This window comes from Homo sapiens, chromosome 6, assembly GCF_000001405.40.
Source record: "Homo sapiens chromosome 6, GRCh38.p14 Primary Assembly".
Classification (NCBI taxonomy): domain Eukaryota; kingdom Metazoa; phylum Chordata; class Mammalia; order Primates; family Hominidae; genus Homo; species Homo sapiens.
In genome coordinates this window covers 117,594,194-117,618,447 of record NC_000006.12, presented here as the reverse complement: position 1 = coordinate 117,618,447, position 24,254 = coordinate 117,594,194, and the positions used below count along the sequence as shown (strand labels likewise).

Below are 24,254 nucleotides of genomic sequence, written 5' to 3'. Positions count from 1 at the left end.
TGTTAAAGAGCAGGTTAGTGCTTTAAGAAAAATTTACTGTGCTTTTATGTTAATGTCCAGTTCACAGAAAAACTGGATGATACCCCTTTAGCTTTAGCCAATATGTTTACACAAAGAATTTCCTTTACAATTAACATTTTAAAACTTGTTTAAACCTTTAAAACAAAATTTTTTAAACCTTTTAATGTAGGTAAAAATCCATATTCTTATGCCTCCTTATAATCCTGTTATTAAAAGTATATTTTATCTTTCTTACATACCTTGTACATAATCTGGGTTTTTAAAAATAATTTTACATCCAAGAGGCCTAATTATTTAAATTATACAATATTTCTTGCATAAATTCCCTTTTATAGCATTTCTTATGACTTTCACAGACAATCTTCAACATGTCTTAACTTTCTGCCTTCCTTTTACATTATTTCTTTTCCTAGTTTCACCCTCTGTGTCTTCCTTTGATTTCTGTCTCCTCCAGTTTCTCTCTTTCTTACTCTTTCCCTTGATTTCTCTATCATTTGCACTCTATTTTCCTCTCTCTCTGTGTCATCCCGTTTCCCTTTCCCCTCCCGAGTTCTCCCACTCCTGCCACCAGCGGGGCCAGGCCACAGCATGGGCCCCACCCCTGTGCACATGCTGCCATCTATTTCTCCTATTTTTTTTTCTCCCAATTCCCCTTTTTGCTTTTTTCCTTTCTTCTTACTTAGTTTCTCGGGGTGGGTGGGATTTGCGCAGCTGCAGTCCGGGCCCCGGGCAGTCACCAGCCCAGAGGCTTGGCAGATGCCTGCCACAAATTGCAAGAATTATGCCCCTTTCACCTCCTCTGCTCTCCCCCTGGCACTGGTCCCTGCCCTCTTTTTCACATAGAGCCAGGCTGGGGAGTGGGACCTAACTCTTGGCATGCCTGCCTTGCTGTTTGGTGCTGTGCTTGCTGTTTTTGCTTTCTTTCTCTCTGAATTCCTCTCCTAGTTTCTTTTTCCTCTCTGCTGGTCTTTCCTTTGTCTTTGCCAGTGACCTGTGCTGCTGTTTTCCCCTCTCTTTCCCCTTCCCCTAGGGGAGGGACCAGCGGGAGTGGAGCTACTGTTTCTTCCCCTAAAGGGAAAGAAAAGGGGGTTCTGAATATTTTTCTTACTACGGGAGGTTTGTGTGAGGTTCAACCCCACTCATGGGGATTTCTCACCTCTTTCTTATGTTCAACCCCCCCCATGGGGATTTCTCACCTCTTTCTAAGGTTCAAACCCTCTCGTGGGGATTTCTCACCTCTTTCTGAGGTTCAAAGCCCCTCATGGGGATTTCTCACCTCTTTCTGAGCTTCAACCCCCCCTTCCCATGGGGATTTCTCACCTCTTTCTGAGGTTCAAAGCCCCTCATGGGGATTTCTCACCTCTTTCTGAGGCTCAACCCCCACCCCCCATGGGGATTTCTCACCTCTTTCTGAGGCTCAACACCCCCCCATGGGGATTTCTCACCTCTTTCTGAGGCTCAACCCCCCCCCCCCCCCCGTGGGGATTTCTCACCTCTTTCTGAGGCTCAAACCCCCTCGTGGGGATTTCTCACGTCTTTCTGAGTTTCAAATGCCCGTCATGGGGATTTCTCACCTCTTTCTGAGGTTCAACCCCCCCCATGGGGATTTCTCACCTCTTTCTGAGGTTCAACCCCCACCATGGCGATTTCTCACCTCTTTCTGAGGCTCAACTCCCCCTCATGGGGACTTCTGACCTCTTTCTGAGGCTCAACTCCCTGCCATGGGGATGTCTCACCTCCTTCTGAGGTTCAACCCCCCCTCATGGGGACTTCTCACCTCTTTCTGAGGTTCCATCCCCCCTCATGGGGATTTCTCACCTCTTTCTGAGGTTCAACCCCCCCTCATGGGGATTTCTCACCTCTTTCTGAGGTTCAACCCCTCCACGTGGCTTTCTCACCTCTTTCTGAGGTTCAACCCCCCACATTGGGATTCCTCACCTGTTTCTGAGGTTCAGCGCCCCCCACCATGGGGATTTCTCACTTTTTTCTGAGGTTTAACTCCCCCATCCTGCCCACCTCATGGGGATTTCTCACCTGTTTCTGAAGTTCAGCCCCCCCATGGGGATTTCTCACCTCTTTCTGAGGTTCAAGCCCCGCCCCCATGGGTATTTCTCACCTCTTTTTAACCTGCAAGACATCCCGACTAAGGAATACTTCACGGCCCTGCTGCGGCTTTCTTTCCCTAGTCCCAACTAAGGAATGCTTACCGCCCCTGTGGTTTCTCTCTCCTTGGTATGTCCTAACCAAGGAATGCTTTACAGTCCTGTGGCTTTTTCCTTAGTCCCGACCACCAAGGAAATACTTTACTGGCCCCTGCGGCTTCTCCTTCCTTGGTCTGTGCATGGAGTTGTCACCACGGTATGTGGCTACCTTGCTGGCCAGTTTCTTTCTTTTCTTTTCTCTGCGTTGCTGAGAGTCCGAGTTTATTCGTCACACTGGGTGGGTCTCAATTTCTCATCCCTGAGGCCACCGCAGTGAGGCAGAAGAGCACACTCCCTCAGGAGAGAGGACTGGAGACCGCCCCTGGAGAAGAATACATCCCCATATGGATTGCCACCGAATTGTTTGAAATGCTTGTTCCCCAGTGCCATAAAGAAATAGCACTTGAACATAAATTTAATTTACTCAGCAAGGCCATTTTTATACTTTCTGTAGAAATGATACACTCACCAGCAGTTTTGCCATGAGAGCACACCGAACAAAGGAGACAGGGTTATTTATAACCTGACATGTCCATCCTACTGCTGTGTCCAGTTTCCACTGGCTGGAATGGGACCTTACATTCTGTATTTGTCCCGACTGGTTAGCAACTTAGAACTTTTTAAAAGAGGCAAAGGTAGAGGGGAACAAAGGAAGGAAGAAGTAACTTGTGGAATGCTGAGAAAGGTAAAAACAGCTTCAAATAAGGAAGAGGAATATGCTATGACCTAATGCTTGCTTGGACCAGTATAAGTATGTCAGGGCAAATATTTAGGCTAAATTGTGGGAGCTAAGAGCATAAAGTGCATTGATTTCTTTATCACAGCTAGCAGATATTTAAGAATGTTAGCACAGGTCTTTGAATAAATTTTGCTTCTAAGAGAAGTTACTATTTATTCCTAATTAAATGGGGAGGAAAGTCTTTGAAGAGGAACCTCTGCTTTACTTTTTACATCTGTGGACTAGACCAGCTAAAGCTGCAAGATTAGAAGTTATGGTAATCTTACTAAATTCAAGATGTAGCTATCTTTATTAAACCAATATCAATGTCTTATTTATTAAAAATTACACAAGCAAAGATCATTCTGTCTTGGGCCGGGTTTATAGTTTCGTAACCTCTATGCCCAATTTTGACACCTTGTAGTATTTGGCAGGGATAAGTATGAAATTGCTTGATTAATAAATGCAACAAATATGTATGCTGGCAATTCTTCAGACATTTCTAATATTACTTTACCAATAATTTTAAAGCTAGCTTATTTACTAAAGATTTTGCTTATGTAAATAAGAAAGCATTTGACTAGTCTTTTCTTTTTTCCTGATAAAGGATCTGATTCAAGTGTTTTTATTTTCTTAAGCCAATTAATTAGACCTCTTTTATATCAGTAGTGAAATATTGTGTTGGCAATGCATAAATACCTAAATGTATTAGGCATGCCGATAGAAGTACATTTTATAGATTTATAAAAACCTTTTATTTTTCCCTATCTGAGACTTTTGTATTCTTGATAACCTGTTTCACAACCCTAGGCAGTAGTCAGTTAAATAGCCTTAAATTTGCATGTTAAAGTAAAAAACTCAAGTGAAATTCAAATAGCAAAATTTACATCATAAGGTACAGAAAGAGTAAGTTTGGTGGTGCTGTAGGAAGATTAAAGGTGGATGCAAAATCAAACATAAAATTATAGAAATCTATCATAGGATTGTATAAGGAGACCAATCTTATTTAAATAGGGACTATCTATGGATCTCCAAGCTCTGGGCAGAGCCCATACTGAATTGTAAATCTTCAAAAAGGGAAAATTATTGTGAGGTTAGACCATGTGATGCTTTTACACTTGAAAAAAAATTTTTAAAGACACTTTTAAGTGTCTAAACCACACTCTTCCTTTAAAACCCAAGAGTAACTTCTCTTGTGGTAATGATTTTAGTCAAAAATAAAAAAGCAGTTAACACAATATAAAATTAAGCAGTTTAAGAACTGAGACATATGTGGCTAGGTTGCTGGCCAGTTTCTTTTTTTTTCTCTGCGTTGCTGAGAGTCCAGGTTTATTTGTCACACTGGGTGGGTCTCAATTTCTCATCCCTGAAGCCACTGCAATGAGGCAGAAGAGCGCGATCCCTCCTGAGAGAGGACTGGAGACCGCCCCTGGAGGAGAATATATCCCTGTAATTAAATAGATTCCCCATAAGGAAAAACAGGTTTCTCCCCAAAAGGGAGTCTGGTGCCTTCATTTTCTTTAAGGAGCCCCAGGCTATTATAAACTATTTTAAGTCCCTTATGCAGCAGAGGGTGCAAGAGAAAGGAGAGACAGCAGAAGTAAATGAAGAAAACAGAATTCAGTCAACTGAGGAAGAAAAAAACAACTTTTGCTCAAAAAGAGACATGGTTTTAGGAGAAAAACAAAAACAAAAACATGAAGGCCTTTTAAATACGGGCACACACATATGCACACACACACACACACACACATCTTGGATGTTAGCTTTTAATTAAGCTGACTTTTAACCACTGAGTTGCTTTAAAAAAATCTTTTAAAATGTCATTACCGTATTTCAACTAGGAAAAATTGCTGCAATTTCAGAAGTATAGCCATTGCTCTTTCAGCTTGATCTGGCTAGTAAAAGGTGGCCTTGTTATGTAAATAAAGCCCCTTCGTAGTCAAAATGAAAAATCTTTCCTCTTTTTTTTCCCCTTTTGCTGGCCATTTTTCCCCCCCGACCACACCACCATTTTTTTTTTTTTTTTTTGGTAGGAATTTAGCCACTTCAGAGGCCTCGTTCCCTGTAATTTGGAACTTCCTTCAGATTTAATCAGGTCAGATAGAGCTGATCAAACCCAGTGGTAAAAAGACCAAAACAACAACAAAAATAGAAACAAACAGCAGCAAATAAAAAAGTTAAGCAAAACAAATGATCACACAACTTATATAGTTACTGAGCGCTCTAATGGTAAGGAGAAATTAAGACCAGCTGGTTGTTAATCTTAACTTTAGCCAAGACAAACCACAATTCACTTACTTATCTAGGATTGGGTCTCAAGCTGAAGACTGCTCTCTACCTTCCTAGAAGCAGGGAAAGAAAACTTCTTCTTCCCGTTGGAAGCAAGCTCAAACTCCCCAAAGGAGTTACCTGCTGTTAGATATGAGTTCTAAATTTCTTTTCAAATAATTAATATGTCAGTATGTTCAATTCTTTGCCTTCTACTTTTAAATTTAACTTCCTTGTAAAGCAACATTTTTCGATTACCTACTCCACCCTGACTCATTTTGATCACCTGCTCCACCCTAACTCATTCCAATCACCTGCTCCACCCTAACTCATTCCAATTACCTGCTACCAGCTCTGCCCTGACTCCCACCAAAGCACTCACTCCCTCATTCTCTTTAAATTAGCCAGCCAATCAGAATTAGCTTAGCCAGTGCTGTCTAACCCTAGCCAATAGGGGAACGACACAACAGCAGGGGCCACGTGCATCAGGGATAAGAACCCCTTCCCCTCCCTTGTCCAGGTGTGCGCTCACCATTGCTCCAACTGTAAGGGTGCACCCTTCTATAGAAGTACCTTGCCTTGCTGAGAATTAAACGAAAATTTTACATTCGAGTGCTATTTCTTTTGCGGCACCAAAACTTTATATATAACACTGCCTACCATCGTAGTGGAAGCAGAAAAACTTGCCTTCCTTGTGTTGGAAACAAGTAAAACTCCAAAAAAAAAAAAAAGTTGTACAGCAAAATAAACTAGTTCTCAACCAAATTTTGGGAGATCAGGGATTCTCTGGAGGGGATGCTTCCAGGCCTCAGCAAATTGTTCTATTGGTTTGAGTCATAAAGATTGCTGAAGCTGGTACCAAGCACCCATAGGAGATTTGTCAAAGGTGAGGGACACCTACACTCAGAATCCCTCCTTGGTTACCAAAATGTGAACCCCCAAATTCTGAGACAGGTCTCAGTTAATTTAGAAAGTTTATTTTGCCAAGGTTGAGGACACACGCCCATGACGCAGCCTCAGGAGGTCCTGATGACATGTGCCTAAGGTGGTTAGAGCACAGTTTGGTTTTATACATTTTAGGAAGATATGAGCCATCAATCGACATATGTAAGATGAACATTGGTTTGGTCTGGAAAGGTGGGACAACTTGAAGCAGGGAGGGGGCTTCCAGGTCATAGGTAGATAAGAGACAAATGGTTGCATTCTTTTGAGTTTCTGATTATCCTCTCCGAAGGAGGCAATCAGATAGGCATTTATCTTAGTGAGCAGAGGGGTGACTTTGAATAGAATGGGAGGCAGGTTTGCCCTAAGTAGTTCTCAGCTTGGCTTTTACCTTTAGTTTAGTGATTTTGGGGGCCCAGGATATTTTCCTTTCACGGAAGCTAAAAGTTTCTTTGATCAAATAATCAATTTATTTTATTTCCAGAGTAAGGATTTCTGTGTGCTTTTCTCCAAAGACTTGTATTCTTTTTAATAATTGTTTTTCCTCTGTTTTCTTTAACTATCACAGATAAGGAATGGTAAAGAGATTTTGGTAACTATTCTGACTTTCAGAACACTTTGTTGTTTCTTTTGTTGAGTAATAGAATTTCTTTTTGATTTTTAGAATTTCTAGCAATCAAAGTAATGCTCAATGAAAGAAAATTTGGAAAAAAAAAAAAAAAAAAAAAAAAAAAAACAGCAAGGAGGGAAGAATTGTCACCTTGAGTCACATCCCAAAGTCAAACATCACATTTCCAGTTTCTTCTTTTCTATGCTTAGGCTTTGAAAAGACAAAGAGTAATACTTATTGCACATGTTTCTGCATTACTATAAAGGTAAATACATATCCAGTTACTTGAAATAAAATGCCTGCAAAATCCTGTCCTCTCATCTGCCATTGATAACAGCAAATTTTTCTGTTATGCAGCACAGTGATGAGTTCCATTCTTCATCCTTTGTTGGTGACCATAGGATTCCTTTTTCTTTGAGCCTTGAAATTACACTATATAATTTTTTTCTTCTTTTTCATGGCATTTCTATACCTTTACTGCAATTCTAGCATTATTTATAATATTTTACACTGTGAAGTTTTATTTTCTCATGTTTGTAAACATACTCATAACTTTACATTTTATTCTTTTCACTATTATATTTTTGCATATTATTTCAGTTTCTATAAATAAAAACTTAAATGTCTAAATAATAGTCCATCAAAAGTACTGTCTATAATTTAACTACTTTCTAACTAGTGGAGTTTTAAGTTGTTTTTTGATTTTAGCATTATAAATGTAAATAACTTTGATCATAAAAAGCTTCAGAATGTTTTGAAGAATAAAAGATCTGTCTTTTCCCAGAACATACCTATTTATTTAGGTTAAGCTGAAAAGTCAATTTTTTTTTTTTTGATAGCAGGCAAAGTCTTGTTGATACTTACAGACTGCAGAGAAAATATAAAACAAAGGTACAGCCTTTATGCTTGAAGGACATACATGTTTTGTTGTTCCTCTTCTAGAGATGGCAAGCCTGTCTCATCTTTATTATGCTAGGAGGAATACAGGAGCTGCCACCATTGCTCAGCTTCTAGTTCACTTTCTGCCGACTTTTGGAGTTTTCACACATTGACTAAGGACCACAAGTATAAAGCTCTCGTGTTTTTATCTCTGGAGCTTAAGGCTAAGTGTGAAGCATGCAGTACTTTTTTCCAAAGATTTTAACAACACCTTACATGATTGTTATTACTTGACTCCTTTGGGTAAGAGGGAACCAAGTGAAGGAACAAGGGTGCCTCTCAAGTATGGCAACTCAACGACACACCCAGCAACTGTGTTCAAAATAGAGCTCAGAATCTAGCTTTAGTCTTTCAACACAAGAAAGATAGCAATCTCAAGAAATATGCTTTGTATTTGAATTTGGATTGGAGTAGATTGTTTGTTCAGATTCTCTAGGCTGGATACTCCCTCTCATTTTATTTTTTTTAGTTTTCTTTTTTTGAGATGGAGTCTCACTCTATTTGCCCAGACTGGAGTGCAGTGACACAATCTTGGCTCACTGCAACCTCTGCCTCCCTGGTTCAAGCCATTCTCATGCTTCAGCCTCCCAAGTAGCTGGGATATCCCTCTCTTGCTTTCTTTATCCTTATTTTCCCTCTCTCTCTGGAAACTTTTCTATTTTGTTTTATTTGAGATAGACTCTGTGTTACCCAGGCTGCAATGCAGTGATGTAATCTTGTCTCACTGCAACCTCCACCTCCCCAACTTCACTCCTTCAGAGCAACTGAGACTACAGGGGTGCCACCATGTTCTCCACTGGAAACATTATTTTTGATTATCATCAAAATACGGGGGAGAGGGGCAGTGTTATCGGCCTCTAGTGGGTAATGGCCAGGGATGCTGCTTCACTGTGGGGGCTACAATGCACAGGATAGCCCCCACAATGAAGAATTATGGAGTCCAAACTGTCCATAGTGCCGTCATTAAAAATGCTGCTGTACATAACAAATGTGTACCTCTATGAGATGGATACTGGCCTTCCCTGATTTATTAAAAGCAAAGGGCAAGAAATAATTGGCCTAAACTCTGAAGTTACCTAATATCTTGCATGTAGTATTTTGAGAGTAATGACCATAGAAGGCATATCATACCAGGATAAATAAATATGCGGAAACTTCTGTTGTAGTTAGGAGGAGAATTTGGCAGCGCCAGGTACTCACGCCTGTAATCCCAGCACTTGGGGAGGCCGAGGCAGGCAGATTACCTGCCATCAGGATTTTGAGACCAGTCTGGCCAACATGGCGAAGCCCTGTCTCTGCTAAAAATACAATTAGCCGAGCCTGGTGGCGCACACCTGTAATCCCAGCTACTCAGGAGGCTGAGGCAAGGAGAATCGCTTGAACCCGGGAGGCAGAAGTTGCAGTGAGTCGAGATTGTGCCACTACACTCCAGCCTGGGTGACACAGTGAGACTCAGTCTCAAAAAAAAAAAAAAAAAAAAAGGAGTATTTAACTTTGTTTTTGATGTGTGGATCATTTTTATTACTTTCATAGGATGTCAGCACTGGAAGGAACTTTAGAGATAATCTAATCAACACCACATTTTTCCATTGTACACAGGAAACTGAATTCCAAAAAGGAAACGAACTAACTCAAATTTTCCCTGATCTGGAATTACAAGCATCAGCTCATTATTCCTGCAATAAAACCGATTGGCCAGGAGCTAAACAGAAGACTTCTAAAAAATGAAAACCCCTGGCCGGGCGCGGTGGCTCACGCCTGTAATCCCAGCACTTTGGGACGCCGAGGCAGGCGGATCACGAGGTCAGGAGATCGAGACCATCCCGGCTAACACTGTGAAACCCCGTCTCTACTAAAAATGCGAAAAATTAGCCGGGCGTGTTGGCGGGCGCCTGTAGTCCCAGCTACTCGGGAGGCTGAGGCAGGAGAATGGCGTGAACCCGGGAGGCGGAGCTTGCAGTGAGCCGAGATGGCGCCACTGCACTCCAGCCTGGAGGACAGTGAGACTCCGTCTCAAAAAAAAAAAAAAAAAAAAAAAAAAAAAAATTGAAAACCCCTGTCTCTGATAAAAGACATTTTAAAGATTAAACAAATTATGTATATGATTCTTTTTAAATATATTTTCTCCTTCTGAAGCACGTTGCATAAAGAGCATACGTTGAAAGTAACACAGAAAATTAAATTCTTCTACTACTTAACTTCTCTAAGCCTCATGTTTGTTCTTCTACAAGATAAAATGGGGGAAATAATTTCCACTTTAGAGAAAGGAATAGATGAAGCAAACTAAAGTTTATCAAGTTGATGGGCAAAAAGTAGGATCTCAACAAATGATAGTTGGCGTATCAGTTTAAGTTATGGATTGCAAGCAACAGAAACAAATTCTGGCCAATTAAAGCAGAAAAAGAATTACTGAAAGAAAATTGGGTAGCACAATGAAGTATAAGAATGCCTGGAGAATGTGAATTGGAAATGGCCAAGAATAAAGGAAGGCTGCATAGTCAGAATCACAAGCAAAATTGCAAAATTGCACCTCAGTTGAGTGAGGACACCATTCCTGCTGCCACTACAGAACACGAGTGCACCAGCCTCTACCACAAACCTGAATCTAGCACAACACCAACACTAGCATGGCTGCTGCTGAAACTGCTATCTTCACTCCCTCTCCAATCCCTACCAAAAGGAATGCTCCCAATCCTGCCTCACTATCTCCATGTTAAAAATTTCAGGTGGATAATTCTAGTTAGCTGAGTCTAGGTCACAGCCCTGTGCTCTACCTGTCACAGAGTCAGGAAAGTGATCATCTGACATTTTCAGCTTATTATGGAAGAAGAATTCTCTCTCTCACCAAGTAACATAAAATGGGAAATTCCCTAGAGGAAGGGAGCTCAAATATGGAGAGTATCCCACATGTAGTGACAAATTTTCACTATAGAAGTCTTTTCATCCTAACTCCCTCTGCTCACCATGGCCACAAAAGCCAAACAAATTCTGAGTGAGTTACAATCATCTGGGGACAAAACAAATACTATCTCCAGCAATTGTTGTGATAGAGCTTTTTGTGTAATAGTTTCACTACACTTTTCTGACTTTTAGTTTCTTTTTCTTTTTCCTTTTTTTTTTCTTTTTTTTGAGACGGAGTTTCGCTCTCATTGCCCAGGCTGGAGTGCAATGGTGCAATCTCGGCTCCCTGCAACCTCTGCCTCCCAGGTTCAAGTGATTCTCATGCCTCAGCCTCCTGAGTAGCTGGGATTACAGGTGAGTGCCACCACGCCTGGCTCACTTTTGTATTTTTAGTAGAGACGGGGTTTCACCACGTTGCCTAGGGTGGTCTCGAACTCCTGACCTCAGGTGATCTGCCTGCCTCGACCTCCCAAAGTGCTGGGATTACAGGCATGAGCCATGGCACCCAGCTGAAATTTCTAATTAGATAACTTATACTTTTCAGTCAAAACTCGAAAAAATAATTATTGTTGAAGGGTATTTGGAATACAACTGTTTCGGAGGCCCTTAGTAGACTAATTTATAAAAAAAAAAACAGAAGGTGATGAAGGAAAGTCTATGTTTGATCCATACAGTCTGACACTTGAGAAATAAACAGTGACTTCACAGTGGACAAAAGAAGAAGAAAACATGAGTAGGAAACTCTGATACTACTGTTGATAAATGGTGGTTTCAGACAAGGCTGAAGCAAACCTGGAGCTGTGGGAAGTGGTAGATGAAGAATGTACATCGGGGAAAAGGGGAAAAGCAGTTATAGTCTGTCTTTGATAGTGTAAAATTTATTATGTTTTGGTTTTAGGTTGAATATACTATACAAAACATAGTATCTAGTAAATTTTAACAATGGAATAAGCAAAAGAATCCTTGAAGCCTAAATTATAATGGATTTATTAGTCAAATAAGCCAGATCATTGTAAAATAAAACTTTAGGTTTGGAAAAGAAAGACTAATATGTAATTTATAGATATCCTAATCTCTGAGGCAATATAAAAATATATTAATATTTAGCTATGCTCTCTAGCATGTATCACAAGTATGTCTTGAAAAGTGAAGTGACTGTTAGTTTCCTAGGTAGAATGATCGAATACCTTAATTATTGAAGTTATCACACAAATAGTTATAGCATTCCTACCACATTCTAGGTCCTGTGTTAGGACCTGGGATACAAAGATAAGTAAGATACAGTTATTGTTGCCAAGGAACTCACAGTCTAACAAGCTCCAAAATAATATGATAAATGCGGTAAAAGATATTTACAGGAAACTAATTGGGGATGGAGCCCATAGCATCATATGAGGAGAAAGAAGGAAGGCTTCCTGGAAGAGGAGGTGTCTGAGCTAATTCTAAATCACTGTACCAAAATTCTCAAGTTTTAAAAACAAGAGAGCAAACAGTTGTCCTGTTTTTTGTTTGTTTTTGAGACATGATCTCATTATGTTGCCCAGGAGGGTCTCAAACTCCTAGATTCAAGAAATCCTCCCACCTCAGCCTCTCAAGTAGTTGTGACTACAGGTGCACACCGCCACACCCAGATCCCTTTGTTTATATAAGGGAAATAATCAGGAGAATAAGGCTAATAAATCCCTTTGGATTCCTAAACTTACTTCTTTAGCATATGTATCTGAAATTTTCAAAACTGTTGGTAATATGAATAATAAATTCAATAAATATAAATAATATGTATGAATACAACACTCCAAACCTTTCCTACATTGATTAAATAAAATGCTAGTGGATTTTTACTTTCTTCATTCACCATACATACAACTTGTTATAGCCACTAACAGCATATACTTAACCCCTTCTCTTGGTAGGGTTACTGGAAACTAAATGAAACACGTGAAGTTAGGTACAGGGCCTGGAACACAGTAGAGTTCAATAAGTGATAATCTCCCTCTCCAGTCCAAGGTGGGTCTTATACACCCTTTTATTACAGTGCCCTTGCAATCAATGATGCTCCATAAATATTTAAACTATACACTGACCCCGCAGTTAATTACCAGTACCTATCAAAGAAACCCTTAGCATCATCTCTCTTTCCCCAATTTCCTCAGTCTCCAACCAATTTATTTTTAGTAATGCCTTGTGACAAAACTCTGTAGGGATAAGTTCCTAAAACAAGAGTGTCACATTTAAGTTATATTTTTTAAAAATCACATAAGCATGATTCATAAAACAGTTATTGGAAGCTTCTGCCAATCCAACTGCAAATAGAAGTATCAAGACTTTAATATCTGTGGAAAAACAAATCGCTCAAGTATTGACATTACATGCAATCTCCAATTCCAGAGTAGGTAAGGATAAGGCAGTAAGTGTAGATAGAGTACACCGACAACAGATGGCAGCACTTGAACATCAAGCCCCGATGATAAGCCCTCCTTTTCACATCCATGTTCTGCTGTGACTTGCAGATTTGCATAACCTCAATCCAGGTGGGCAAAAGATTATGTCTACATACTACAGTAATGAGAAGGGACAACATGACATGAAACTCGTCTGAGACACAGATGAGTCTATGACTTGTTGAAGTTGTAAAGGTAATAGATACGAAGCTGGGTTCTGCAATCTCGAAAATGGGGGTACCCACAAACCATTAGAGCACTGGAAACATATAAACACTTAAAATGTCACTCAGCTGCACCCACACAATGTAGCTGGAAGTTGATTTTTTAAAGAAATGAAATTTATACTCAAGTGTGGTTCATATAAATTAGAGTTACAAGTAATAGAAAATGAGTTATTACAATTTTTGGTAATGGTTCTTATATGTTAATAGATTTGTATATGGTTTCTAACTAGGAAGAAATTAAAAAGAACTTTTGGAACTTACTTGCTAGTTTATTATACTGCTAACTTTTACAAGAAGAAATAGATTCCTTCATTCTTCTGTATTACATGGTTAACAGCAACAACTTAGGAGAAAAAGACACCTAGATTGATATACTACCTCAATCTCTTTCTAGTTTTGTGACCTTACCAAGACACTTAAGCTGTCTGTGACTTTAGCTGTTAAAAAGTGATTACTGGGTGTGGTGGCTCACACCTGTAATCCCAGCACTTTTGGAGGCCTAAGCAGGAGGATTGTTTGAGTCCAGGAGTTCCAGACCAGCCTGGTCAACAAAGTGAGGCTGCAGTGAGCTGTGATCGTGCCACTGCACTGCAGCATGGGCGACAGAGCAAGATCCTGTCTCAACAACAACAATAAAAGACGTGATCATACCTACCTCATAGGATTTTGTAAGGATCAAAGAATTAAAGAAAATAGCATAATGCCTAACACATAGTAAGGACTCAATAATTGAAAGCTATTATAATTGTGGTTCGATGTATTCTCCCCCTGCCCTGCTAATTTTAAATTATTTACTTCGCGTTCCTGAAAATGCATTGCTAACTGTATTATGTGTAGATAAAGTGGCTGGGAGCTTGATAGCTGTAGCAATGTTTTTGCAAATATTGTAGATGAAAATAAAGCTAATTTTGGAAGGGAATGGGGAAAGATGTAAATTTTAGTTTTACATTATTTATTGTGTACTAAAACCTGTATGAAGGTCCCTACTTAAGTCTAAGGTCAGGATCTCATGATCCATTTTGATTAGCTAAGTTTGCTCAAGCCAAAGGACTTTATTGCTTCATGCTAACCAGTCTGCCATGCAGTACAAAGACTGCAATAATAAAATTGTGATTTCTTGCTCCTCAGTTGCCTTGCATCAGCGAAGGGCACACAATGCAGGCTTTGGGTTGTGATTAACCGTAAGGGTCTGCCCCAAGAACAGATAACAGCAGACTGCACTCAGCTAAATATGCTTCTAGGTAATGCAGGAGTTTCCACCAGCCTACTCTAATCACACAGGTTTCTCTTTCCCTTTCTAGGACTGTCTACCCTTGAACTGGAAGTAGGCAGAATGTAAAGAGAGGAGTTGCTGGATACTTTTAAAGGCACTGAAAAATTCAAGTTAAAGTTATAGTTGAGGGGTAGTAGCCTCACTAGCCTATCTTGAGTAAGGGTCATGTCTCATTCATTTTTGTGTCTTCAATGTCGCAACAGAGCTCTGCATTCAATATATTTGTAAATATATGAATTCACAATTTTGATTTTCTGAAATGTCACGTGTGAGGACACTACCAGTTTTCAAATAAATACACCTTTTAAAGTACAGTTATGTGCCAAATAACAAGGCTTCAGCAATGAATGGATCGCATAAACTATGGTGATCCTATAAGAGTATATGACTGTACCTTTTCTATGTTTAGATATGTTTAAGTACACAAATAGTTACCACTGTGTTATAATCGCCTACCGTATCCAGAATGGCAACATGCTGTACAGGTTTACAGCCTAAGAGCAATAGGCTACATCATATAGCCTGGGTGTGTAGTAGGCTATACTATCTAGGTTTGTGTTTAAATACACTCTAGGATGTTCCCTAAGGGATGATTAACCTAAGGACACATTCCTAAGAACATATCCCCATCTTAAGTGAAGCACTACTGTAGTTGCTTTTGAAATGTGTGACCTATGGTGTATTAAGAGGAATACCGTGTGCCAAGAAGTGACGCTAAGCGTTTTACCTTACAACTGAGTTAAGTAAAATTTGGAAACTTGGTTTCGAGGTTAATACATGAAAGGCGACACAGGTAGTATGTGACAGAGGGTAAGAATTGAATCCAGGTCTACCTGACTCTTAATCACAAGACAAAAAGTCTTCTATTAATTCCGCAAAATCTGGTCAGCCGCTTCAATGCGCAGCTTTAGGCAGTCCACACCTGGAATTTGGGGTCTGGTTTACCAAGAACAGCCAGTGTGTACACCCACTCCATCCTATCCAGGAACTGGAATCGAGAAGGTAAAAACGTGGCTATTGCGCATGCTCACACCGCCCTTCCTTGCTCTCCCCTCCCTGACCCTAGATGCCACCGCAGCAACTTTCTGGGAGGATTTTGGAACGGCTCCCGCCAACTGTTAAGTCAAACCGGCGGAAATCCTTCCTTTCTGCGACGTGGACACCTTTCTCATCCTCGGGCCTTTCCAACCAGGGTGCAGAAACCACGCGCCTCCGTTTCTCAGGGATTCAAGCCGTAGTTTGCCAGTTGTTAATATGGCCGCTGACAGGCCGCTCCCAAGCTGAGGCCTTTCATAGGCCAAGATCGCATCCTGTCCCCGCCTATTTTGTCCCTCGTGGCTGCGTCCGCCCAGCTCTTCGCTACGCATGCGCAGCGGGGGCAGGCTGGGAGGTGGGACTGACTGAGTCTTCCGTGTGTCGCCGCCGTTGCCGCCTCAGCTTCAGCCTCGTTACTCCTGCGGTTCTGTGACTGTGCTGCTGGCGTTAACGGCGCGAGGTGAAGGGAGGTGACGGAGTGTGCCCGCGCGCGCGGGGGTCCCCTCAGTCCCAGCAGTTCCCTTCGTGCGCGGGGGGCGGCGAGGGTCTTCAGCAGTCGGGAGAGGCCCTTGACGGCGCCATGTCGGCGGGCGGTCCATGCCCAGCAGCAGCCGGAGGGGGCCCAGGGGGCGCCTCCTGCTCCGTGGGGGCCCCTGGCGGGGTATCCATGTTCCGGTGGCTGGAGGTGCTGGAGAAGGAGTTCGACAAAGCTTTTGTGGATGTGGATCTGCTCCTGGGAGAGATCGATCCAGACCAAGCGGACATCACTTATGAGGGGCGACAGAAGATGACCAGCCTGAGCTCCTGCTTTGCACAGCTTTGCCACAAAGCCCAGTCTGTGTCTCAAATCAACCACAAGCTGGAGGTGAGCCGTGGGTGCTGGCGGCTATGGCATCCAACCCCAGGCTGCCCGGTGGCGTCAGATGCCATTTAACGCTCCAGTGAAACGACCCTAGAAAACTGCCCACCGGGGCTTCAAATGTGATGGGAGAGTGCATGTCTGAGGAGTGAGGTGAGGGTGGGGGACAAAAAGGGCCCTAGACCGACGTGTGAGTTCCCGGGGTACTGTCGTCCACCTTCCTAGTATCTCTCTGAGGAGGAAACTAATTACATACACCAGCCTCCATTGCACATGTTACATTAACAAACCTAACAAAGATTCTCTGTCATGAAAATACCGTAGGCCACCTTTTGACAACTGAGTTTTGCAGATCTGCTTTCACATTGATAAACCGAATTTGTATATGTTAAGACAGATACAGCACTGATTATTTTCATTTTAATTATTCCAGGTCAGCGCCTATGATTGCATACAGAGACATGCATAAACTATTTAGGGGAATCTGATCAAAGCTCTTAGGAAAATTTCGTGGTGCATAACGATAGTATCACTGTCTCGGTTTACATCCATAGTTGGTTGTTAAATTACAGGCAGATACCTCCAGAGAGCTCCCTGCAATTATTGAAATTACTTCTGACCTTGAGTTTTTATATGCTTGTACATTACTGTGTAATTTTCCAAAGTCTGGATTTATTTTTGAGAGAGTGTAAAGAATCATTTGCTTTAATCTCTGATCCTGGGTGTGGGTGAGGGTGGAGTGGCTGTGGTTCAAAAAAACAAAAATATCATATTGTGCAGAAAATTTAAAAAGGACATTATTAAAATATTTAGAAATCAAGATAGATTAACATTATTGCATAAAGAGTACTTTCTAACTAGGCAATTTAAGAGAATGGGTCTTTCTTTTCAAAAAGTGTAATAGATAAAAATGGGATAATCAGTGATGTGCAAAACTCTGAACATGCTTTCCTAAGAAATCATCATTACTCGTTGTCATTGACAGTGCCCATTATATCTATATCAATATGAATGTCAGTTAAACATCCTCTCCTTGCCTAGTGGTCAGCATTCTTTCTCTCCTATTAGCCATGAAATATGTGGCATAATTAATCTTTGATTAACATAGATTTACATATCCAAGAATTGTGGCTCTTCTCCACTGCGAGAACTGTTAATTTCTTCTATCCTTTTTGAAAAGATTAGAAAGTGCTAATATGAAGGTAATCACTTCTTACTGTAGGTAAATGAAAACATCTCTTGATTTCTTTATTGGTAGTAATTTCCACAAGAAAGCTATTTTTCTCAGATAGTGAAATTGCATTTAATGTTTTCTAGAAATAGTACTTTAACTTTATTTCATCTTATTTTATCTTATTATATTTTTTTCAAAAAAGAGATGGAGTGCTTTGTTGCCCAGTTTGGTCTTGAATTCCTGGCCTCAGGTGATCCTCCTGCCTTGGCCTCCCAAAGTGCTTTGATTACAGACATGAGCTACTGTGCCTGGCCATTAGTTCTCTAGCTTTAAACAACAAAGATCAAGAGTAGCCTTTACCACATGGTATAATTCGAATGTGTCCCCCAAATTTCGTGTATGGGAAACTTAATCCTCAATGTGACAGTATTGAATCTCCAATGTGGGGCCTTTAAGAGGAGACTGGATCATGAGTACTCTGTTCTTATGAATGGATTAATCCACTTATAGATTGATTTGTTATTGGATAAATGGATGAATGAGTTATCATAGGAGTGTAGAACTGGTGGTTTATAAGAAGAGGAAGAAAGACCTGAGTAAGCATGTTAGCATGCTCAGCCTCCTTGCCATGTGACACCCTATGCTGCCTCCATACTCTGCACAGATCCCCTGCCAGCAAGAAGGCTCTCGACTTCTCGAGATCTGGCCCCTCGACCTTGGACTTCTCTGTCTCCATAACTGTAAGAAATACATTCCTTTTCTTTATAAATTACCTAGTTTCTGGTATTCTGTTATAAGAAACAGAAAGTGGACTAAAACATCACACGAGAAATTTCATATCATTTACAACTGCAGTATCAACTGGGCATTAACAACTTTTTAAAAATGAAACAATATTTTATTTATTTTTAAAATGACCTAAGGAAACTTTAAACAGGGATTTGATGTCAGATATAAAAATTGAAATTGGGAGGAAGGATAATTTTCTCAGTAGGAGGCTGTGCTCCATTTTTTTTGTCTTTAAATATTTTAGATGAGTATTCAGAATTGTAATAAATTATGCATGTTCTTTTTTCAGAAATTAAAATCACACATTCTGACTTTATGTCCTGGTTTAGGAGGTTGCATTGTTTCTCAAAATAGGAAATGCTAGCATATCACAATGTGAGCATATTTTTTATGCTTGAAACTGTTGATTTAAAGATCATAGGAAAATGGGGAGGGGAAAAATCCTAATGATTTTGGTTTGTTTGTTCATTTGTTTGTGTTTTTTCAGTTACAGTCAACTTGTTTGTCTTTGATGTTAATCTGTACACGTTTAGCAGCTTCTGCCGTTTTTATGGAATCAATTGTGTATTGCTGTGGAAAGAAGTTCATTGTCAGCAGTGCCTTTCAAAGTAGACTTGCTGCTGTTCCATCTACAGAATTTCAGTGGTTGCTCCATATATTGTTTGAAAGCTTGAAACAATTTCCATATTTTCTTGCCCTTTTTTACTTTTTAGGAAAAGGATTGAATTTGTTCTATTGTTTTAATTATATGGACATTAAGACATATTTGAAACCACTTATGGTTTAATATGACAAACGTGACATTCAGTGGTTTCAGAGGTTAATACCTTTAATCATATTACTGTAATAAAATATTTTTATATAATGAAGAAACAGATACCTCCAATTTGGGTAATTTATAATGTAGTTAACATTAAACACTATATTTATTATTAAAATATTAAATTTTGCTGCAAAAAAATCATAGGTTACTTTTTTACTTGAATAGGCTATTAGGGCTATTCTTTTTTATTTTTAATTGACATAATAGTCGCATCTTTTTAGGGGGCACAGTGTGGTATTTGGATACACATAATAATGATGAAATTAGGGTAATTAGCATATCTGTCACCTCAAACATTATTCATGTTAGAAACAATTCAAAACCTGCTCTTCTAGCTGTTTGAAAATATACATTAAGCTACTATTAACTGTAATCATCTTATGGTGCTATAGAATACTAGAACTTTTTCCTCTTATTTAGCCATAATTTTGTTACCCCGGGCTGTGGACCAGTACTGGTCCGTGGCTTCTTAGGAACTGGCTGAACAGCAGGAGGTGAGCAGTGGGCAAGAGAGCATTACAGCCTGACCTCTGGCTCCTGTCAAATCAGTGGTGGCACTAGATTCTCATATAGATTCTCATAGTAGCACAAATCCTGTTCCTGTTGTGAACTGCACATGCGAGGTATCTGGGTTGCCAGCTTCTTGTGAGAGTCTAATGTCTTTTGTTGAAACCATCCCCACGCTGTCCTGTGGAAAAATTGTCTTCCACAAAACCAGTCCCTGATGCCAAAAACATTGGTGACCGCTGTGTTAACCAACATCTTCCTACCCGCCTCACCCTTCCCAACTTAACAGTAACCACTGTTGTATTCTCTACTTCTATGAGGTCAACTTTTTTTTTTCTTTTTTTGAGACAGGGCCTCACTCTGTTACCCAGGCTGGAGTGCAGTGGTGCAATCATAGCTCACTGTGGCCTCCAACTCCCAGCTCAGTTGATCCCTCTGCTTCAGCCTCCCAAGTAGCTTGGACTACAGGCATGAGCTACTATACTCAGCTAATTTTTCTATTTTATTTTTTTTTTTTTTTAGTAGAGATGGGGTTTTACTATGTTGCTTAGGCTGGTCTTGAACTCATGGGCTCAAGAGATCCTCCTGCCTCAACCTCTCGAAATGCTGGTATTACAGGTATGGGCCACCATGCCTGGTAAATCAATTTTTTTAGCTTCTACATTTGAGTGAGAACATGCATTATGTATCTTTCTGTGCCTTGCTTATTTTTACTTAATGTCCTCCAAGCTCATCCATGTGGTCTTCAATGCAGGATTTCATTCTTTTTTATGGCTAAGTAGTATTCCTTTGTGTATATATACCACTTTTTTTTTTTTAATCTTTTCATCTGTTGTGGAAATATAGATTGCTTCCGTATCTTGGCTATTGTGAATAGTGTTGCAATAAACATGGGAGTGCACATATTGTTCAAGATACTGATTTCCTTTTTAGGGGGCATATATCCCTAGTGTATATGTTCTATTTTTAGTTTTTTGAGAACATAGATTACATCTTAAAATTAAATACAAATGATATCCATGTGACTGCTTTTTGCCATAGCAATATTTGGGAAGAGTCATATCTGAGGAGAATGGAATAGCAGAGAATATCAGTGTATTTTGAGGTGGTGCCATTTCAAATTGCTCACATCTCTCACACTTTCCACATGCTTGTGAGTTTTTGCTGTCATGAGCCACTTGATCATGGCTATGCTAGAATCATAGGCATTGATTGGAATAGTAGTGGCACTGTGGAAGAAAAAAGAGAAACTTTTTATCTGAAGAATGTGCCCCCCTTCACCACTTCTATTCAATGTAGTACTAGAAGTCCTAGCCAGAGCAATCAGACAAGAGAAAGAAATAAAGGACATCCAAATGGTTAAAGAGGAAGTCAGACTGTTGCTGTTTGCTGATGACATGATAGTATACCTACAAAGCCCTAAGGATTCATCCATAAAGCTCCTAGAACTGGTAAATGAATTCAGCAAAATTTCAGGATACAAAATTAATGTACACAAGTGAGTAGCCCTCCTATATACCAACAGTGACCAAACTGAGAATCAAATCAAGAATCAGCCACTTTTATAAGACTTGCAAAAAAATTAAAATATTTTGGAATATACTTAACCAAGGAGATGAAAGACCTATACAAAGAAAACTATAAAACACTGCTGAAAGAAATCATAGGTGATACAAACAAATGGAAACACATCCCATGCTCATGAATGGGTAGAATCAATATTGTGAAAATGACCATACCACCAAAAGCAATCTACAAATGCAATGCAATTCCCATCAAAATACCACCATCATTCTTCACAGAACTAGAAAAAACAATCCTAAAATTCATATGGAACCAAAAAAAGCCCACATAGCCAAAGCAAGACTAAGCAAAAAGAACAAACCTGGAGGCATTAGGTTACCTGACTTTATACTATAAGGCCAAAGTCACCAAAACAGCATGATACTGGTATAAAAACAGACATATAGACAAATGCAACAGAATAGAGAACCCAGAAATAAAGCCAAATACTTACAGTCAACTGATCTTTGACAAAGCAAACAAAAACATAAAGTGAGGAAAGGACACCCTATTCAACAAATGGTGCTGGGACAATTGGCAAGCCACATGTAGAAAAATGAAACTGGATCCTCCTCTCTTACCGTATATAAAAATCAACTCAAGATGGATCAAAGACTTAAATCTAAGACCTGAAACCATAAAAATTCTAGAAGATAACATTGGAAAAACCCTTTTAGATATTGGCTTAGGCAAAGACTTCATGACTAAGAACCCAAAAGCAAACACAACAAAAACAAAGATAAATAGATGGGACTTAATTAAACTAAAAACTTTGTGCACAGCAAAAGAAATAATCAGAGTAAACAGACAACCCACAGAGTGGGAGAAAATCTTCACAACTGTACATCCGACAAAGGACTAATATCCAGACTCTACAAGGAACTCAAAACAAATCAAGAAAAAAACAAACAATCCCATCAAAAAGAGGGCTAGGGACATGAATAGATAATTCTCTAAAGAAGATACACAAATGGCCAACAAACATGAAAAAATGCTCAACAACACTAATGATCAGAGGAATGCAAATCAAAACCACAATGCAATACTACCTTACTCCTGCAAGAATGGCTATAATCAAAAAAATAAAAAAAAATAGATGTTGGCACGGATGTGGTGAAAAGGGAACACTTTTACACTGTTGGTGGGAATGTAAACCACCAACCACTATGAAAAACAGTGTGGAGATTCCTCAAAGAACTAAAAGTAGATCTACCATTTGATCCAGCAACCCCACTCCTGGGTATTTACCCAGAGGAAAAGAAGTCATTATATGAAAAAGATACTTGCAAACATGTTTATACTAGCACAACTCATAATTGCAAAAATATGGAACCAGCCCAAATACCCATCAATCAATAAGTGGATTAAAAAAATGTGGTGTGTATATATACAGACACCTGGAATATTACTCAGCCATAAAAAGGAATGAAATAGTGGCACTTGCAGCAACCTGGGTGGAATTGATTGGAGACCATTATCTAAATGAAGTAACTCAGGAGTGGAAAACAAAATGTATGTTCTCACTCATACATGGGAGCTAAGCTAGGAGGATGCAAAGGCATATGAATGATACAATGGACTTTGGGGATCTGGAGTAAAGGGTGGGAAGGGGATGAGGGATAAAAGATGACACATTGGATACAGTGTACACTGCTCAGGTGATGGGTGCACCAGAATCTCAGAAATCACCACTAAATAACTTATTCACATAACCAAACCCCACCTGTTCCCCAGAAACCTATTGAAAAAACAAAACAAAACCCAAACAAACAAAACAAAACACAACTGAGTTCCTTTCCATTGTGAGGCCTAGAGAGGCATTGGAATGAAACCGCAGTTATGGCACTCCCTTTTGACCTAAGCAGTTATCTCTGGAAGCCACCTTCTATGTAGGATTTAGACTAACTGACGCCAAGTAGCCATAAAATACCATATGCTGGACACCATAAGTCATACCTTATAGTGCAACAATGAATAGCCAGTCACTAATCAGTGATTGTAAACCAATGAGAATTCTTATCAAGCAACTTTGTATCTGCCTTGTTCCTTTTTCCCTTTAAAATCTGCTTGTAACTCAGGTGCCAGAGCACTCCCCAGGCATCTGGGAAATATGTGTTGAGTAGCTGTCCTCATTTTGGCTCAGGTAAACTAAAGTATATTTTGTGCCTCAGCCTTTTCCTTTTAGGTTTACAGTAGGAATAGTAATACTAGCAGTAGTAGGTGTGTTGGAATAGAATAAAGATTGTGAACCAATACTTTAAAAAATTCACCTCTGCCTTGAAAGAGTGTTCTGCCTGTTACTCCTTTTTTAAAGTAACAGCACAACAATACACCTTCTTTCACATCCTCCTTTCCCTCAGCAATTGCTCTGTTAGTATCTCTTTGAAGTGATTTATTATTCATAGCCAACAGTAGAGAAACTTTTAACTTTGATCTAGAGCCACATTGATAATGAACTGGTGATATGCTTGTCCCTTTGCTGCTTTAAATCTGTCCTGTTTTTAAATAGGCTGTTTTGCAACATTGAAGCTTAAGTTTAATATTGATCCAGTACGCACTTATGAACACGAATTATGTGCCAGATGCTGTATTGGGCACTTAGGATACAATGGAGAGCAAAAAAGGGATGTAGTCATGGCTTTTATGGAGTTTGGATTATATTGGAGGAATTTGTTGGGAGAATAATCATGTAAATGAGAAATTGCAACTTTGATGAATACTATGAAAGGTACATAAGAGTAAATGAGACCCTATTTTGGGATGTCAGAGAAGGCTTCCCTGAGGAAGTTATTGAGCTAAGACATAAAGGAATTATGTGTAAATAGGAATGAATTAAGCTAAGAGAAATAGGAATGCCATTCAACATTGCCGTAGAGGGAATGGGAAGTGAAAAGCACCTGTGGTGGGCAAGCGCATAGTGCATTTGAAGATTCGAGAGATAGTTGGTATGTGTAACAAGA

General features: G+C 39.8%; 1 protein-coding gene and 1 pseudogene across 2 annotated transcripts in view, besides 7 other annotated features; one reads left to right on the top strand and one right to left on the bottom strand.

Annotated features, from left to right (window-relative positions):
• NEPNP (nephrocan, pseudogene) overlaps positions 1-15,520 on the bottom strand; it is a 42,160-nt pseudogene extending 26,640 nt beyond the window's left edge.
• Positions 1,369-1,448: an enhancer, noted in NCBI's record as "active region_25011". NCBI's record gives its function as "activates an Ori minimal core promoter by ATAC-STARR-seq in GM12878 lymphoblastoid cells {active_cell/tissue: GM12878}" and the evidence as "EXISTENCE:reporter gene assay evidence [ECO:0000049][PMID:35858748]".
• Positions 1,469-2,078: an enhancer, noted in NCBI's record as "active region_25010". NCBI's record gives its function as "activates an Ori minimal core promoter by ATAC-STARR-seq in GM12878 lymphoblastoid cells {active_cell/tissue: GM12878}" and the evidence as "EXISTENCE:reporter gene assay evidence [ECO:0000049][PMID:35858748]".
• Positions 2,107-2,847: an enhancer, noted in NCBI's record as "H3K27ac hESC enhancer chr6:117936764-117937504 (GRCh37/hg19 assembly coordinates)". NCBI's record gives its function as "activates a minimal SCP1, AML or CMV promoter by ChIP-STARR-seq in naive and primed H9 embryonic stem cells {active_cell/tissue: H9 hESC(naive and primed)}" and the evidence as "EXISTENCE:reporter gene assay evidence [ECO:0000049][PMID:30033119]".
• Positions 2,108-2,402: a silencer, noted in NCBI's record as "tiled region #8561; K562 Repressive non-DNase unmatched - State 23:Low". NCBI's record gives its function as "represses a minimal TATA promoter and a strong SV40 promoter by Sharpr-MPRA in K562 cells {active_cell/tissue: K562}" and the evidence as "EXISTENCE:reporter gene assay evidence [ECO:0000049][PMID:27701403]".
• Positions 15,546-15,835: an enhancer, noted in NCBI's record as "active region_25009". NCBI's record gives its function as "activates an Ori minimal core promoter by ATAC-STARR-seq in GM12878 lymphoblastoid cells {active_cell/tissue: GM12878}" and the evidence as "EXISTENCE:reporter gene assay evidence [ECO:0000049][PMID:35858748]".
• GOPC (golgi associated PDZ and coiled-coil motif containing) overlaps positions 15,937-24,254 on the top strand; it is a 42,243-nt gene continuing 33,925 nt past the window's right edge. For both annotated transcript variants that reach the window (NM_001017408.3, NM_020399.4), the window contains exon 1: positions 15,937-16,444. In NM_001017408.3, coding sequence (NP_001017408.1) covers positions 16,160-16,444 — 285 coding nt within the window. In that variant the 5' untranslated portion in view covers positions 15,937-16,159. The remainder of the gene's footprint in view (positions 16,445-24,254) is intronic.
• Positions 15,966-16,055: an enhancer, noted in NCBI's record as "active region_25008". NCBI's record gives its function as "activates an Ori minimal core promoter by ATAC-STARR-seq in GM12878 lymphoblastoid cells {active_cell/tissue: GM12878}" and the evidence as "EXISTENCE:reporter gene assay evidence [ECO:0000049][PMID:35858748]".
• Positions 23,048-23,342: an enhancer, noted in NCBI's record as "tiled region #12404; K562 Activating DNase matched - State 5:Enh". NCBI's record gives its function as "activates a minimal TATA promoter and a strong SV40 promoter by Sharpr-MPRA in K562 cells {active_cell/tissue: K562}" and the evidence as "EXISTENCE:reporter gene assay evidence [ECO:0000049][PMID:27701403]".